General features: G+C 37.9%; 1 protein-coding gene across 4 annotated transcripts in view; it reads right to left on the reverse strand.

Moving 5' to 3' along the window:
• The window catches only part of CLTRN (collectrin, amino acid transport regulator), a 48,327-nt gene continuing 34,952 nt past the window's right edge, over window positions 4,815–18,189 (reverse strand). For 3 of the 4 annotated variants that reach the window (XM_017029680.2, XM_024452411.2, NM_020665.6), the window contains exons 5-6: window positions 17,059–17,253; window positions 4,815–5,624 (exon numbers count right to left, since the gene is read on the reverse strand). In XM_017029680.2, the coding sequence (XP_016885169.1) occupies window positions 5,468–5,624; window positions 17,059–17,253 (352 nt within the window). In that variant the 3' untranslated portion in view covers window positions 4,815–5,467. The remainder of the gene's footprint in view (window positions 5,625–17,058; window positions 17,254–18,189) is intronic. The other variant, XM_017029681.2, reaches the window with a different exon arrangement.

An 18,189-nucleotide genomic window follows, 5' to 3' on the forward strand; every position in this document is an offset into this window, starting at 1 on the left:
CATTCATTCAAGCCAAAATTTTTTTTAAATAATGATATTCTTAGTAATTAACTTAATTTTATCATAATTAATGAATGGGTCCCTTATAGGACATTCTTTCTCTATATTATCTGAATCTAGCATGGTGTCTTCAATAAAGTAGTGGGACATTCAACACATTTTTAAGGAAGAGAAGAAGAAAGGAAAGAAAATGTGCATTTACTTATGTAACTAAACTTGAGAATATTTTATACAGGAAAATAAGATGTAAAATGGGAAACAAAATATTATGCTAAGGGGCCCCATGAATTGAAATAAGGACTGAGAATTTGGGCTCTGGGTTTCTTTTTGCTTTTTGGTTTTTAATCTGTGTCCTCTCCTATTCCCTATTTCTCATCCAGGAATGATGATAAATGTGCATAATCTGTGTAGTGATACTCGTATCTGGAGTCTGATCATTATCATTCTATATGCAATAACTTGCTTAATTCTTTTATATTATATTTTCTAATGGTTAGTTCTTGTGAAAAACATAGATGATGAAACTACACCAAAAAAAAAAGTTATCTGCATTTACATTTCTTCTGTGAAGCAAATCCAGATATCACCATCCCAGTGCATTTTCTTTCCGTAGTGAATTGATTTTCTGTCCTTCCAGTTTCATCAAGCAGTTTTTGCCAGGAACTTGGAAACTGGAATGACAGCTTTATTTCCACTTCCTTTACAACATTTTGTTTCCAGTACATATCACCTCACAATATGTTCCCTCATGGCACATTACTGGATCATTAAATTAAAAGTGAGAGGTGTGGTTGATGATTGACTGCTCTCTAATTACCCAGAGTGTTTGTCAAAGGCAGTAGGCAGGAGATATAAGCTCTATTTTGCTGTTACATTGATTGTCAAGGTTACAGAACATCTCTGCTAGCACAGAAAACTTTTCCAATAAGGATATTTAGTGGAACAGACCTTCCCCCAGTGGAATACATTCCCTCCGCAGCAGAATAAATAGTGAAGAAAATGGTCTCGTTATCAAAACAGGTTTGTCTCATGCCTTCAAAATAAGAAACATCTAGAATCAGTGTTTCTCAATCTTCTTTTCGTTATTGTGGCCTTTTAGACCTTTTTCTTAATAGTTATCCCATGAAATTTTAATATCTTAGATATAGTTTATCTGCTTACATACTGTGATCATTTGGAGGACTACTGATATCATCTGGACCTGTGTCCTCATCAAATCTCATATTGAATTGTAGTCTCCAATGTTGGAGGTGGAGCCTGGTGGGAGGTGGTTGGAACATCAGGGTGGATATCTCATGAATCATTTAGCACCATCCTCTTGGTCCTGTTCTCATGAGAGTGAGTGAGTTATCATGAGATCTGGTTGTTTAAAAGTGTGCAACACCTCCCCGCTTGGTTTCTCTTTCTCCTGCTCCTGCCATGTGAGACACCTGGCTCCCCCTTTCCCTTCCACCATGATTGGAAGCTTCCTGAGGCCTCCCCAAAAGCAGAAGTGGCTATGCTTCCTTTATAGCCTGCACAGCTGTGAGCCAATTAAGCCTCTTTTCTTTATAAATTACCCAGTCTCAGGTATTTCTTCACAGCAGTGAGAGAATGGACTAATACAACTACAAACCACTGTAATATCTCGAATTTTTTCTCCCCGCCAAGAACAATTTACACCCTGTTGAGAATGCGTATCTTGGATTATGCTTCCTAGCACACACTGATTGAATTCAGCTGATGTTTCACCAGTTAAAGACTTCTCTATGCAAAGTCAAACTACTCTCCTGAAGTACACCACTCGAAAGAGCGTAAGATAGAGAATAATTATTTAGTAAGTCACGTCTTGTCAACCAACAGGTCAAATCTCATTCCTTTTCTAAAAATAAGGAAGCCTACTAATATTAAATACCATATGGTTCCCAAGTCAAAATGGTGTTCAAGTCAAAAATCTTCTACCCACATATTCAAACTCTTCCACTTACAGAGAGAGGGGCAGGCTTTGCTCCCAGAAGGGATAAAACTATGAGCTTGCAACAGCTACCACTTCATGTGCTGGTTTATTAGCACACATTTATTGAGCTCTGACTACATAGACTTTCAGCTTCACGAGGGCATGGATTGTGTTTGGATTGTGTTTGGTTTTGCTCAACATTGTAGGATAAAGGAAAGAAAGAAGGGTCCAACAATGATAGACTGGATTAAGAAAATGTGGCACATATACACCATGGAATACTATGCAGCCATAAAAAATGATGAATTCATGTCCTTTGTAGGGACATGGATGAAGCTGGAAACCATCATTCTCAGCAAACTATCGCAAGGATAAAAAACCAAACACCGCATGTTCTCACTCATAGGTGGGAATTGAACAATTAGAGCACATGGACACAGGAAGGGGAATATCACACACCGGGGAATGTTGTGGGGTGGGGGAGGGGGGAGGGATAGCATTAGGAGATATACCTAACGCTAAATGACGAGTTAATGGGTGCAGCACACCAACATGGCACATGTATACATATGTAACAAACCTGCACGTTGTGCATATGTACCCTAAAACTTAAAGTATAATAATAATTTAAAAAAAAAGAAAGAAGGGAGAAAATAAGGAAACGGAGAGAAGGCACTCTACTAAGTGACTTGAACACTACCTCTAAGAGTATTATATTTAGTGTGAAGATACAAACATATAAACAAGTATAAAAAATGAAGCGTTACAATCATTATAAATAAAAATGTGTAGACATAATCAAATTACAAAGCAATAGTTAATTCTAACTAGTTGGAGGTCAAGGGCAAAGTGAAGTGCGTTACAAAAATGTTATGAAGACAAGACTGCATTAGGACTTTTGTGGGCCCTAAAACACTCTTGCCTTTGTGGTCCCCTTCCTCTATAGAAAATATATTGAAAAATAATAATTACAGTACAATGAGATGAGTATAATTATCTGGCTGTTCTAGCAGCCCATATCCCGGATGTCTGGCAAAGACTTCCTGAGATCAAAATGTTTATGTGAGAAAGACCCTAAGAACAAGGTACAAGAGTGGCTGAGAGGTAGGGTAGAGAAAACAGCCTGTTCAAAAGCTGGGAAGTGAGAGATCTATGTATGACTGGATGGAAAAGAGAGAGAACTTGTGAGAGATGAAGATAGGGAGGGAGGTGGAGATGGAGGGGGTGTCAAACTTTAGCAGGCCCTGTGTTAAGGGGTCTGGCTTTAGCCTAAGGATAATGATAAGCCATTTAAAAGTGTCTGTGTTAGGAACTAACAGGACCAGGTTTACATTTGGGGCATTCATTCAGGCTGTATCACAGACAATGGACCAGTAGATATTCTAAGGGGACTTCTGGGCTCCCTCTTCTAGGCCAATACACCCATCCCTAGCAGCTAAGAATATTGGCTATTGAAGGCTCACAGCTGAGTCCTTCAATGGGAATTGCATCCAGCCACAGTGAACTGCCTTTTTCAAGGATAGACCCTCTCCCAGAAGGCACCCACAGGCATGCCTGGCCAATGTGGAAATACAAAGGCCCTGCTCCCTTAACTCAATCAGGAATAGCCCCAGCTCCTGAGCTTCCTGAAAGATTGGCTGAGGCTTCTGTTGTAACCGTGTTTCTGGTTGTTTCTCCCTCTGCCTAATCCTACTCTATTTGTTACCTGTTGCTGCCACAAACTTAAAAGCTTAAAAAAATACACATTTATCATCTCACAGTGTCCATGGTCAAGAGTCTGGGCACAGCCTAACTGGTTCTTCTGCTCAGGCTGCAAAGTGTAGGTCAGACTGCATTCTCATCTGGAGATTTGAATGGGGAAAAATCTGCTTCCAAGCTTCCTCCAGTTGTTGTCAGAATTCATTTCCTTGTAAGACTGAGGATCCCAGCTTCTTGATAGCTGTTGGTTGGAGGCTGTCCTTGGTACCTAGAGGTCACCAGCAATTCCTAGAGCAAGCTTGTCTAACCTGTGGCCTGTGGGCCGCTTGCAGCCCAGGGCAGCTTTGAATGTGGCCCAACACAGATTCGTAAACATTTTTGGCGAATTTTGTTTAGCTCATCAGGTATTGTTAGTGTTACTGTATTTTGTGTGACCCAAGACAATTCTTCTTCAAATTTGGCCCAGAGAAGCCAAAAGATTGGACACCTCTGTCCTAGAAGCTGACCACAGTTTCTTTCACATGGGCTTTCCCAACATGGCCACTTACCGAATCAAGACAGCAAGAAGATCTCAAAAACAAATCTGCTAGCAAGACAGACTCAGATATAATATAAAGTAATTGCAGGAGTGTGACATCTCATCACCTTTATTGTATTCTATTCATTAGAAGCAAGCCACAGGTACCATACTCACTGAAGGGGAGGGGATTCTATGAAGGCATGAACACCAAGAGATGGGAATGATGCGGGCCACCTTAACAGCTGTCCGCCACACTTTGCCTTCCTCACTTCTTAAAGGTGTATCTCCTGAGCGCATGCCCCAATAAACCTGCTGTATGCAGCTACCTATCTTAGAGTTTGTATGCAAGGAGGCACACTGGAGGCAGGGAAGTGAGTTAGAGACTACTGCTGTAACTTTAACTATGAGTGATAGCAGTGGGAAATTGAGTAGCAAATTTTATTTTCATTAATAAATGTATAATCATTGTTCCTAGAATTTAGAATTATTCATGGCCTATCTGGAAATAGAATCAACCTAAAAACTACAAGGTGTCTTCAAACAAGGATACACACAACAAAAATAATTCATTTCTATGGTTGTAGAGCAGATTAAAGATAACTAATAAAAACAAGACTATGTTCCACAGTGTGAAAATAAATTCCAGACCACAATCAGTCACACAATCAAAAAGAGATGATTATTACTTTATTAAGTTAGCACAGATTGGACTTTTACAAATTGTAGAAATGGTCAACAAATAGAATTGTCCTATTAGGGGCTGATATTCAGAAAATATATAATCAACTGTTGGTGTGATAACAGGATAAAATTCCACCCTGTATATGAGTAATTCCATTTTTATCCATCCATTTACAATAATTACTTCTCACTTTTGTTTACTTAGTCATATACAGAGTGATATAAGTGATCGTCAAAAAGGATCCATTTTCAATGATTTCTACACCATATTATATGTATTCTCCACTGGAAAATTTATTTTTCCTTAGGTCTTTGAAGTGTGAAAATATATACATATGCCTGATCTTATTTCTAAAAATGCTTAAATCAATAACTACAAATACCACATGACCACATTTATACACTATACTGTCAGAAAAATATTTTAGAATATTTTGAGTCGTGAATAGCTTATGATTTCAGTGGTGTTGGTGGGTATAATTGATTGCTTTTCACTTTCAAGCACATTCAAAATTTATTACAAAAGAAGAATGGTGAAACAAAATATATGATCTGCTCTTGGTATTTCAGGATGCTCAGCAGTCACACAGAAACAAATGTTTAATTTCTTGAGGAAGCAGAACAACAGCCCTTCAGAGAGGGGTGAGCCTCTCATCCTCTGTCATGAAGGCATCATTAATATGCCCTCCCTTCATGTCCAGGGGATCAGAGGGGATGCCATTTTCAATTGTGATCATGTTTTCACACTTATCTTCAGCGTCATCCACTTCAGATGGTTCTTTGTTCTTTCTAAAAGCACATAAAAAAGAGTGATTGGCATCTAGAAGGACCATAACCATGGTTGCATATGGTCTTCTGAACGAACATGGAGAACAGGAAGGGGAATAGGAACCTTAGAACAATGAAATAATTTAATGATATTGTGTAATTTTCAAACGAATTTCAAAGACCATAAAGAGTTGGTGAGGTGAAAAGATACTATCAAGATGAGAAGTCTGTATAGATGACATATACATAGTGATCAACACAAGTGGTCTTATTCAGAATACTAAAATCAATATAGATGAATATGTATATGAATATGAGTGTATATGCACATATATACACATAGACACTCACACACACAAATTGCATGAAGTAATGTGAAGAAAATGCATAGTAAATTCGCAAGTTTAAAATCCATCTCTAGGAGAACTTAATAACAATTGAATTGCTAAAAGTAATAAATTCCTCTCATGGGATTTGACAAATTAATGGTCTGAAAATGTTGAGTGAAAATCAAATAGAAATGAGCTATCAGAAAGAAAATTAACATTACTTTGTAGAAAGTAAGTGCTATAAACTTCAAATATTGCTGCTTGGCTCTACTCATTACAAAATAATTGTGTTAATTTGCAAGTCACGATTTTGGAACTCAGAATACATTTTCCCTAATTACTTTACAACTTGTAGTTATAATTCCAGGTCACTCCAAAAATTCCATATGACAGGATAAATTCTTGAGTTTCTCATAGTTTCACCCTTTGTAGACCTTGCTGACCCCAACCGAAGTAATATGCAGATCTGTAATATTTCTTTGGAGTGTGGAAAACAGTAGACTCAAATTCAAAGGTTTTTCCTGTCTTTTGTGAAAGACTAAAACAATGAGACAATTATGCTTGATATCATGCAGTAAAAGAAAAAAGAGAGGTGGGTGCCTCTAGGCAACCAGAAGAAGGAGGGGTTTCCCTAAGGCTTATCACAGGTTGGATGTTGGAGCACCACTCCATGGTGACACCACGGAGGCATGATGTTAGGCATGAGGCTCCTGGACTTGCAAAGGATTCTCTTGTCCCACGAATTTGTGGAAATGCCAAATAGCAGAAAAGAATAGATCATCTGGCTGAGATGTTGGGCACTGCAGTGGTGACCAGGTAGAGTCCCACCACTATGAGAGTCCCTTAGAACCTTGGTGAGTCTCTGACAGGTGAGGAGATGGTGAAGGTGCCCCAATGATGACCGAGATGGAATTCCTATTAGTCCTGCGTGAGAATGTGCTTTAAAGGATATGGTGCACATGTACCCTAGAACTTAAAGTATAATAAAAAAAAATTTTTTTTAAATCATCTTTCCCACCCACATGATTTTCCTGACTCCATTCCTGTCCTCTGTATCATTTTCCCCTATCAGTTTTATTGAGGTATAATTGACAAATAAAAATTGTATATATTTCAAAAAAAGAATATGGTGGAAGAAAGTGAAGAAAAGAGAAAGCTCTTTTTTTATAGAAGAATGCCAACGAATATAGAAAGAGTAATAGGAACAGAAAATCACCATATAATAATAATTGATTCTGATGAGGATTATCAATGGATACTAAACCATTATGTGAGAGACGGTTGGAGAACAGGATATTCACATGGTTTCAAGATATCACCCCCATAAGCAAAATATTAATTATAAAAGGACACTTGTATTTTGCTAAAAGAGAAATCTAGTGAAAATTTCCAACAATGAAAGAAACTGACAAGTCTCTCCTGATGTGATACACTGAGTAGATCACATATATGTTTTTCCTGTGTTCCAGCCCCGCCCCCTCCAATTTGTTTTGACCTGAATCTCATAATAAGGAGCCTAATCAGAAAAATCCAAATTTAAAAATGTTTTGCAAAACAGCTGACCTGGACTCAGCACAGAGTAGGCATTCAACTGTATGGGTAGATGAATCAATGAATGTAGATTAATGGCTGACTGGCTGGATAATAAATACATGGATGGACAGAAGATGGGTGGGTGGCTGAACAAATGATGAAAGGTGGATGGACAGATGGATAAAATAATCAATGAATGTAGTTCAATTGCTGGTTGGCTAGATGATATATTAATGGCTGGCTGGCTGAATGGATGGATGGATGGATGGATAGATGGACAGAAGATAGATGGTAGATTGAACAATTAGATGTATGTATGTATGGACTAATGTTGTAGGTAAAGTTACTCAGGCAGTAGCCCTAGGTAGACCTTGAACGGGCTTTACCACAAGAAAGAAGGAAGGAAGGAAGGAAGGAAGGAAGGAAGGAAGGAAGGAAGGAAGGAAGGGAATTTTACACACAAGAAATTTCTTGTATCTCTTGTATTTTAGGCTTTGCTGATGGTTTATTAAATAATTTCAAATAGTTGTTCATTTAAAACAAAGGTAAAGTAGCATTCCAATTCTGTAGATCCCAATGTCATCATTTGAAAGTATTTTACCATTGCATATGCCACCATCAAATATCACAATTAAACACAATAGGCAATCACTGAATTGCAGATGCCACATTTTAAACATTTATTAATAAAACTTCTGGCCCAATGCTGGGTTGAAAGTCAGGAGTTGTGGTCCTAGAGACCTAGGGAAAGATAGGCTGCTATATTTTTCCATCCTTGGAGTGAAGACACCACACTGGTCATGGCAAGCATCAGCAATCAGCAATCAGCATGGGTTGGGGTGGACATAGATTTTAATGTGATGAGAGGATCCTTCCAGGTGAAATTACCCACCAGAGGATTAGAACACTTTGGTTCCTCTTCCTATAGATAGGTGTATTGTTCACTTTCCACGTCCTCCAGAAAGCAAAGGAAATCAACATTCTATAACCATCAATCACATCACTTCCATTCATAGTATCCAACATTCACTAACAGCTACATTTTGAGCGTCTACTATGTGTATGGAAGAGATACAGTCCTTGTCCTAAAATGAACTCAATGAAAGGGAAAAATGCCATATATACTCATCCTCCCTCTCCCCATTTTAATGCTTTATAAGAGAGAGGAATGTTTCTTCTAAAGATGAAGCTGTAAGTAGCAAATGTCTATTTATAAATCATCATTTAAAATGGCTATCTCATGTAAATTCCCCCAAAATCACTCCTCACTGGGCTTGGAGTGAATGATAATTTTCCACAACAATAAATAGATTGTGGACAGCCAAATTTTACCCTGATATTTGTATATGTTAAGTATGAAACCTGTATTACAAACATTTTAGTAAAGGAAGCATTCTGAAGTAGGTGGCAATGCAATAGCAGTCTTAGAAATAATAATTGCCAGGGCCTATTTTCCAGTTTCTTCAGTTAATAAAAAAAGTATTTATGGAGTTAGAAGAAAAATAACAAAGAGCTAGACGTATGTGATGATCATTACAAGGAATCTCGCTTCCCCCTTCCCAGCAACAAGGAAAAATGATTCATCAGGCATCACGAAAGAATGGGGAAAAACTAAAAAGGAAGATGTAAACAAATGAGGACAAGTTTTTCTTCTTTAGAATAAGAATAATATCTCAACCAAAAAGATTCCAAGGGGAATTGCTGTAGAAATTTATCAAACTGAGCTGTGTCAGTGGCAAATTAGGTGCATATTGTTCTTTTACAACCATAGATCCAGTTGCAGAGTCCTGGCATTGCTGGGCTTCACCAATTGCAGTGTCAGGAACTTGCTGCTTGGTGGACATGATAAGCAGCTCAAAGGCTATCTAACAGTAATATATCACTTTGTCACATTTCATAGTGTTTGCTGTAATAAATTGATTCACTACCTGTGCATTGCTTTTACTAAGAATAATAAAACTTAACTATCTTTCTGGATCATTCTGATTTGATGTTCTGCTAAAAACATGAGTTCTTTTTCCTGAAAACTAAAATCAAGTGTTAATTACTTCTGCTATTCCTGCAATGTCAGGGGGTTCAGGAAGAGGATGAAAAAACTGATTAAAATTCCTGGAACGAGCTCCTAGAAGCCTTGAGAGTGAATATCTCTCATATACCTCATAAATATAGAGAGAAGAGGGGCAAAAGAGGGGAGGAAAGAAGTATCAGGTGTGGCCCTCAGAGCTAGGGGATGTTGAGGAACGGGGTTTGCTCTGTTCTAAGATAAAGTAATGGTGCCAAAAGCAGGAAGAGCATTTCTGTCCCCCTTCAAACAAAATAGAGCTGACTGCCGGGCGTGGTGGCTCACGCCTGTAATCCCAGCACTTTGGAAGGCTGAGACGGGCGGATCACCTGAGGTCAGGAGTTCGAGGCCAGGCTGGCCAATATGGTGAAACCCCATCTCTACTAAAAATATAAAAATTAGCCGGGCGTGGTGGCGCATGCCTGTAGTCCCAGCTACTCGGGAGGCTGAGGCAACAGAATTGCTTGAACCCGGGAGGTGGAGGTTGCAGTGAGCAGAGTTCGCACCAATGCACTCCAGCCTTGGCAACGGAGTGAGACTCCGTCTCAAAATAAATAAATAAATAAATAGAGCTAAAGAGGCTGGGTGTGGTGGCTCGCGCCTGTAATCCCAGCACTTTGGGAGGCTGAGGTGGGCAGATCACAAGGTCAGGAGATCAAGACCACCCTGGCTGACATGATGAAACTATTAAAAATACAAAAAAATTAGCCGGGTGTGGTGGCGGGCGCCTGTAGTCCCAGCTACTCGGGAGGCCGAGGCAGGAGAATGGTGTGAACCCGGGAGGCGGAGCTTGCAGTGAGCCAAGATCTTGCCACTGCACTCCAGCCTGGGTGACAGAGCAAGACTCTGTCTCAAAAAAAAAAAAAAAAAAAAAAATAGAGCTAAAGAGCCAAGACCCAAGAATAGCCAGAAAGACAATAAAAGACAGACAAATATGATTTTCAAACAGTACAGAATCAATTATCGGGGAATTGAGACCATCCTCAGAATTGCTCTGGATGATTCTGGGGGTAAATAGGGTTACTGGAATGATTTGAGTGGGCACTGTAGCACAGTGAGATTGATGGACTTTGAAATCAAACCTACCTGGTTTTAAATCCTGTTACTATTACTTTCTAACCATGTGACTGTAGGCAAGTTGCTTTACATGTGCCATATAATAGCAATGATAATGCTAATGATAATATTAAGTATTTATTACATGGTAGAAATCAGACTAGATGTTTTGTATGCATCATCTCACTTAATTCTTACTGCAATATTATGCATATTTTATTATCACTGTTTTTCAAATCCATCGTTTTAACCACTCAGCCACGACTACGTGCCTCATCTCTGTTTTTCAGATGAAGGAATTGACACTCAAATACGTAGAGTAACTTGTCTTTCAGAATGAAACAAGACTGGTGAAAGGAGTTGACCTAGAACTCTATTTACTCTCCCCAGGCTTTACTCAACACACTTACATTAGATTTTTATCAGGTATGTATATTTAAGAACAGCAAAGAAAAACATTTGTTATATTCGCTATGACATTACTCATTTTATTTACACCTCTATTTTTAAGACTATTCATTTAATTAAGACTTTATAAGAATGTGGTTTCAGGATATAAAAGTGTTGACTGAGCCACATCCGCTTGTGTGAAAAACAAGATCTGTGGAAATCCAAATGCATTTTTATTTACTATTGACCTTATGGGAATATAAGTATAACTAGAAACAAACCAAGCAAATTTACTAATGACTCTACTCAGCTGGGAGCATTAGCTAGGGTTCTATGTCCTAAGTCTTTGACCTGGCTTTGTTACTATAAGATTACAATCTCCTTTTAGGCAAGGACCATCCATGTTATTTATGTTTGTCTCATCCACAATACATACTATAGCTCCTATCACAGAATGGATGGTCAATAAAACAATAAAATATTCTTACTTATCTGGGCTTTGGTTTCTGGAGGGTTGGATTTGGATCATTGTTAAGGTCCCTTCCTAAGACCCAGTTGTGATCTTAGATACAACTAAGGTCTAACATTATAACAGTCTATTTATATACTGGATTCAACATCAATTCTAGTATATACATGTAAATCTGAAATTGTGCTGTGTCCATGACTGTCCTTGTAAACTACAAAGTTCCAGGTTATATAAAATTAGCACTTTATAACTGCTTTTTATGGTCATGCTAGTAACTTAAATTGATATAGCACTTTCTAGCATGTAAACCACTAGATATATTCTCTGATTTTGTCTTCTCATCATTACACTATTTAAGAAAATATTATCATCATTTTCCTTATGTGACCTGCTCAAGGACACAGCTAACAAATGCCAGAGCCTGAGACTGGAACCCAAAACAAAGAGTCTTAGTTTAGGGCTCTTTCTATTAAAACACACATCACATTATCAACTTCATCACCATCACCATCACCATCATCACCATCACCATCACTATCACCATCATCATTATCACTACCATCATAAAATTGACCATACAACTAACACACCTACTTCTAGCCTGTGGCTAGACACTAAATCTAGTAGAGACATTATTGTGAAGTATATGCAGTTCATCCTGGTTGCCTTCCCACTTGTTCTGCTCCCTAATTGTTGCCCCAAATTTTCAAAATCATTCTCAGTAAACTATCGCAAGAACAAAAAATCAAACACCGCATATTCTCACTCATAGGTGGGAACTGAACAATGAGATCACATGGACACAGGAAGGGGAATATCACACTCTGGGGACTGTTGTGGGGTGGGGGGAGGGGGGAGGGATAGCATTGGGAGATATACCTAATGCTAGATGACGAGTTAGTGGGTGCAGCGCACCAGCATGGCACATGTATACATATGTAACTAACCTGCACAATGTGCACATGTACCCTAAAACTTAAATTATAATAATAATAAAAAATAAATAAATAAATAAATAAATAAAAGAAAAAAAATCGCTTTTCCAACTTCTTTCCTTCAACAAATCTCTCATTTTCACAAACTGCTATTCTCATCTAGAGGGCAATAGAGAAGCAACCTCTTCTAGGTATTTCACAAAGAGGTGGCAGCTGTAATGGTGTGCTAGATCTGGCTGGTACAGGTTTTCAAGGGCTGATTGCTAAATATTCAGAATTTTTCAGCCTTGATGGGAAATTGGCAAATGCTACAAATTAGGGTATTTATTCAGAATTTTTCAGCCTTGATGGGAAACTGGCAAATGCTACAAATCAGGGTATTTATTCAGAATTTTTCAGCCTTGATGGGAAACTGGCAAATGCTACAAATCAGGGTATTTTTTAGAGAGCTGGTTAACCAATTCACCACTATTGTGGTGACCAGTAGACCTCATAGAATTATTTGCATTTTTAAAAAGTGTTTATTCAGCATGGTAGTGGCATCAAAACAGACACATAGACAAATGGAACAGAATAGCAAGGACAGAAATAAATCCATGCACTTATGGTCAACAGATCTTCAACAAAGATGGCAAGAACACACAATGAGGAAAGAACAATCTCTTCAATAAAAGGTGTTAGGAAAACTGGATATCTCGATGCAAAAGAATGAAACTGGATTGTTGTCTCACACCAAATACAAAAATCAACTCAAAATAGATTAAAGACTTAAACCTAAGACCTGAAACTATAAAACTACTAGAAGAAAACATAGGAGAAAAGCTCCATGACATTGGTCTGGGCAATGACCCCAAAAGCACAAAAACAAATTCAAAAATAGACAAATGGGATTTACATCAAAATGAAACGTTTCTGCACAGCAAAGGAGTTAATATCCAAAAATATATAAGAAACTCAAACAACTCAATAACAAGAAAACAAATAACCCAATTTTAAAATGGGGAAAGGATGTCAATAGAAAATTTTCAAAAGAAGACATACAAATGCCCAACGGGTACATGAAAGAATGCTCAACTTCACTAATCATCAGGGAAATGCAAATCAAAACCACAATGAGATACCACCTCACGCCTATTAGAATACCTATTATCAAAAAGACGAAACATAGCAAGTGTTGGTGAGGATGTGGAGAAAAGGGAACCCTGGTACACTACTGCAGGAAATGTAAATTAGTACAGCCATTATGGAAAACAGTATGGAAGTTCCTCAAAAAATAAAAAATAAACTTCCATATGATCCAGCAATCCCACTCTGGGTATATACCCAAAAGAATTGAAACCATTATGTCAAAGAGATTTCTGCACTTTTATGTTCAACCCAGCACTACTCACAACAGCCAAGGTATGGAATCAACCTAAGTGTCCATCAATGAATGAATGGATAAAGAAAATGTGGTACAATGAAATACTATTCAGCCTTTAAAAAGAAGGAAATCCTGACATTTGTGACAATAAGGATCAACCTGAAGAACAGTATGCTAAATGAAATAAGCCAGGCACAGAAAGACAAATGCCACATAAATAAGTTGAATTTATATGTTAATTATTTGATTTAGCCATTTCATAATATATACATATATCAAAACATCACCTTATATGCCATAAATATATACAACTTTTATTTGTTAACAACACCTTAATAAAATAAAACAAGCATTTAATAAAATCCCAAGCAATGAGTTGGTGAATTGGAGAAGTTTCTACAGTATGATGGAAAATACCAAGATATTTTCCACAATATCTTGGTGGAAAAGAGATCCTTTCCCAGCACCTCTTAATCATAGCAATGGCTTAAGCCGATCTTGGATAATCATAATTACTGTTTATTTAGTGCACACTATATCCTAGGTACTTTATACACATTTATGTCAGTCAATCCTCATGAAAGCCCTGTGAAACATCATCTCCCTGTTGCAGATGGAGAAACTGAGATCCCTGGAAATCAGGTGACTCAACTAAGATTATACAGGTAAAGGGCACAGCTGGTATTTGAGTTTACCTAGTTTGGGCTCCATTGGTTGCATACTTGCCACTCACTGTCCCTGAATAATTAATATAATGGTGTTATTGGCAAAGATAACAGAATTGTTAAAGCTTTGCTGAGAAATTTCCTCAATAGTAAGTTTAAATATATATATGTGTGTTAGATGACTCTGGCACTCTTCTCCATAGAAGCAGAATGGTGACTTAGATAATCCCATGGTCCCTCCAGGTCTTCTAAGTTTAAGATTCTGTACCACAAAAACTATGTTCATTATTATCTAATGTATGGATTAGATTGTTGAACATTCCTTTGACTGTCTTCCTCGAAACTAAAGGTTTTGGGGGCAACTCCTATCTTTTCCATGATTAGAAAGGGCTTTCATTGCAATTTTCAGGGCTCTCCCCACTTCAAACTGCACCCTCTCCTCACATTTGACGCAACATTTTGTCCAGGAGAAACCCATCACAAATTGTGTCAAACTTAAAACACAACAAACAATTTATCTTCAGAAGGTTGTCATAATTTTCCTGACTATATTTGCTAATTATTGATGCTCTCCCGGTTTACACAAGAGATGTGTCCATCTGCTTTCCCAGTTTGAACATGAAATAAATTTGTAAAGGCAAGGTGGTGACAACAGCTTCACTTCTCCCAGGCAACAAATTATGATGCTACACACCCAATTATTATATTACTGCAGAATCTGCTCAGAAGGAAAGAGATAGCTGATCCCAATACAAACTAGCTGAAAGGCCAGCAAATGGCAAGATCATAAAATAATAGTAACAGCTAACACTTATTGAGCACTCACTGTGTGCCAGATACCACTCTAAGCACTCTATGTATTAACTCTTTTTATCCCACCAAGTTAATTATTTCCAGTACACCTCACTGTCACTCTAGAAAAGTTATCTATTCACAAACAGTAAAGATAAACTTAACCAGCTTGAGTCTAGCACCACAAATTATATTCTCCTAAGCTCAGTTTCCCTGACTCACTGTGCTTCCTGATATCCATACAGTTAATGGATTATATACAAGGGCAGAATCTAAGAGATAAATATGTTGAGTCTAAGCAATCTATCTCCAGAGTCCATTCTTCTAACTCCTACACTATACTGTACTAGTGAGGAAATTAGAAACCAAGTAGATGGAGTGAATTCACTAATGTTACAGTTGTTAGAACACAGAATCAAAGCATCTCAAGATTAATACAAAACAAAAGTATTAAACACAGGTATTCAAGCATTGCATGAGAATATTTCTCAATATTTTCAAAAGAAAAACCAAAATGCACATCTTGTACCAAGTCTCTTTGCATTACATGCCATGCCAAGATCATCAAAAAAATCAGGTAAGTGTAACTTGATCCTAAATCTTTGAATTTAATTTGAGGACTAGACATAAACCATATTTATTTCATAGCATTTTACTTATCATTTGTGAATAAAATTACAAAGCCCAAGATTTAAAATTATTACCTTCTGTTAGTTACTAGGGTGAAACATATGGAAAGTAGTAAACTTCAAGAGGAGCATTTAGTCAACACATACTTACTTAGCCAAACACATCCCACATGTCCCATGTAAGAACCAACACTTTTAAAAACCATGTCCCTGTTATTTTCAAATGCATGTCACTGTAATTACCACTTACCAGAATTATTCTTCCTTAGTATCAGAAAGGAAGGTTTACAAGCATTAAAGTCTAGTGAAAAGCTGAGGATTTTTCCATCTTCCCCCCTGCATTAGAGGTACTGGTTAACAAAATCATGCTGAGAAATCCTGTCTCCTCTTCTTCTCCACTACCTCAGTAACTTCCCCACAGGTCTTAAATTCCCTCTTGAAGCAGTATCAATAACTTAGACATCGAAGTTTGCAAATGCCTCCAGAATCTAGGTAAACGAACTCAAGAAGTGAAACTCTACCTATAAATTGTTAAATTGAAAGCTCTCAAACTCAATGAATAAGGATGACCTGAGTATTCATTAAAATGCATCCCTTCAGAGATTCTAATTTAGTGGGTCTGCAATAGGGCCAAAGAACCTACATGTTAAACAAGTGTTCCAGGTGATGTCTGATGCTGAGAGTTGATTTAAAGGCCACAAGCAACACAGCTCTATTCAATATCATAGGCACACAAGGGATGAGTGTCCATCAAAGGGAAGGAAGTATAAAACAGTACAAAGGCATCTGGGACAAGATGGTAGCCTGCATGCACTGGACTAAGAAGAGGTAAGCCAAAGTAGGGAGGCATGCAACTATGAACCTGCTGGCATTTGGATGTGGATGACTACCAAAGATTAACTCTGCCTACCCAAAAAGTCTGTTTAGCTCCTTACATCTAGCTTACAAAATCACAACACAGATATTAAAATCAAGCCTGGATATGAAACATTTATGTGGTACAGAATAGAGGGAAAGGTAGTCGTGGAAGGAGCCTAGTTAAGTAAGGGACGCTGGACTCTAAAATATATCTAAAGAAAAGAGCATAAGTGATATTTTTGAAAATCACCAATTTTTTCAAAGTTTCAAATTTAAGGCATTATCTTCAGCCAGAGGAAAATCCTCTCCTGATTTGTCCAAGTCATGAGGAAATAAGAAAATGCTCTTTCAATCACTCCTTTTAAATATCTTACCTTCTACGTTGCCAGATCCCTGATAAAATCAGTAGTGCAATTGCAACTATGATGATGCAAAATATCACACCAAATATAATAATCCAGATGGGCACAGATGGGTCCATGGGTGGTGCAAGTGTGGAAGGGATTTTTAAAAATTCCAGAGTTTGGTCATTTAGAAAGAAGGCATTGTTGATCCGGTTCTTGTTCATTCTAAAATGCAATGATAATTAAAAATAAACAAAATAAGACAGAAAAAAAACTATTAAGACAAAGTACAAACCTGTTTCTCCATGATTATAAATATCTCTATAAACAAAGCATCCTCCTGGCAGGAGACTTCAAGTTGACTAAAAAGTTTGCTGAGGGCAATCATGCCATAGTTTCTCTTAAGTTACAACACTAGCTGCCAGAGGGATACCCATGTATCCACTGCTGCCCCCATTGTTGTGAATGTCCAGAAGTCCTGAGCTTTGAGCTCTGTCCACCATGTTTTATTTCCTGAGAGGTAGTAAGGTAGACGGAGGGACTCGTCTCTGGAGGCAGGGCTCTAACCCTGGACCAAACTGAGGACTAACTAAAACAGAGCTAGGGGGTGGCGGGGAAGCAGCTTTCCATCAGACATGCCCACCAGTGTGCCATGTCAGTTTACCATTGCCATGGCAACACCTGGGAGTTACCACCCCTTTCCATAGCAATGATGTGATGACCCCAAAGTTATTACCCTTCCCTAGAAATTTCTGCATAAACTGCTCCTTAATCTACATGTAATTAAAAGTGGGTATAAATATGACTGCAAAACTGCCCTGAGCTGCTAGTCTCTGCCTACAGGGTAGTCCTGCTCTGCAGGAGCAGTCACAGAGCAGTAACATCACAGGAGCTATAATACTGCCTCTTCAGTAAAGTTGTTTTCTTCTACTTCTGGCTCTCTCTTGAATTTTTTTCCTGGGCAAAGCCCAGAATCCTCATGGGCTAAGCCTCAATTTGGGTTTCACCTGTCCTGTGTGAGTAGCATCTAGATTAGAATGACAAAGCTCTATTTAAGGTGGCTTACATAAATATCACAGCCCCCAAAAGTAAAATTACATGTAAAATATGGGTGATGAATAGGAGAAGTAAAGAAAACCAGAAGCAAAAATGAAAACATGA

The sequence above is a fragment of the Homo sapiens genome, chromosome X, assembly GCF_000001405.40.
Source record: "Homo sapiens chromosome X, GRCh38.p14 Primary Assembly".
In the NCBI taxonomy this organism is placed as follows: domain Eukaryota; kingdom Metazoa; phylum Chordata; class Mammalia; order Primates; family Hominidae; genus Homo; species Homo sapiens.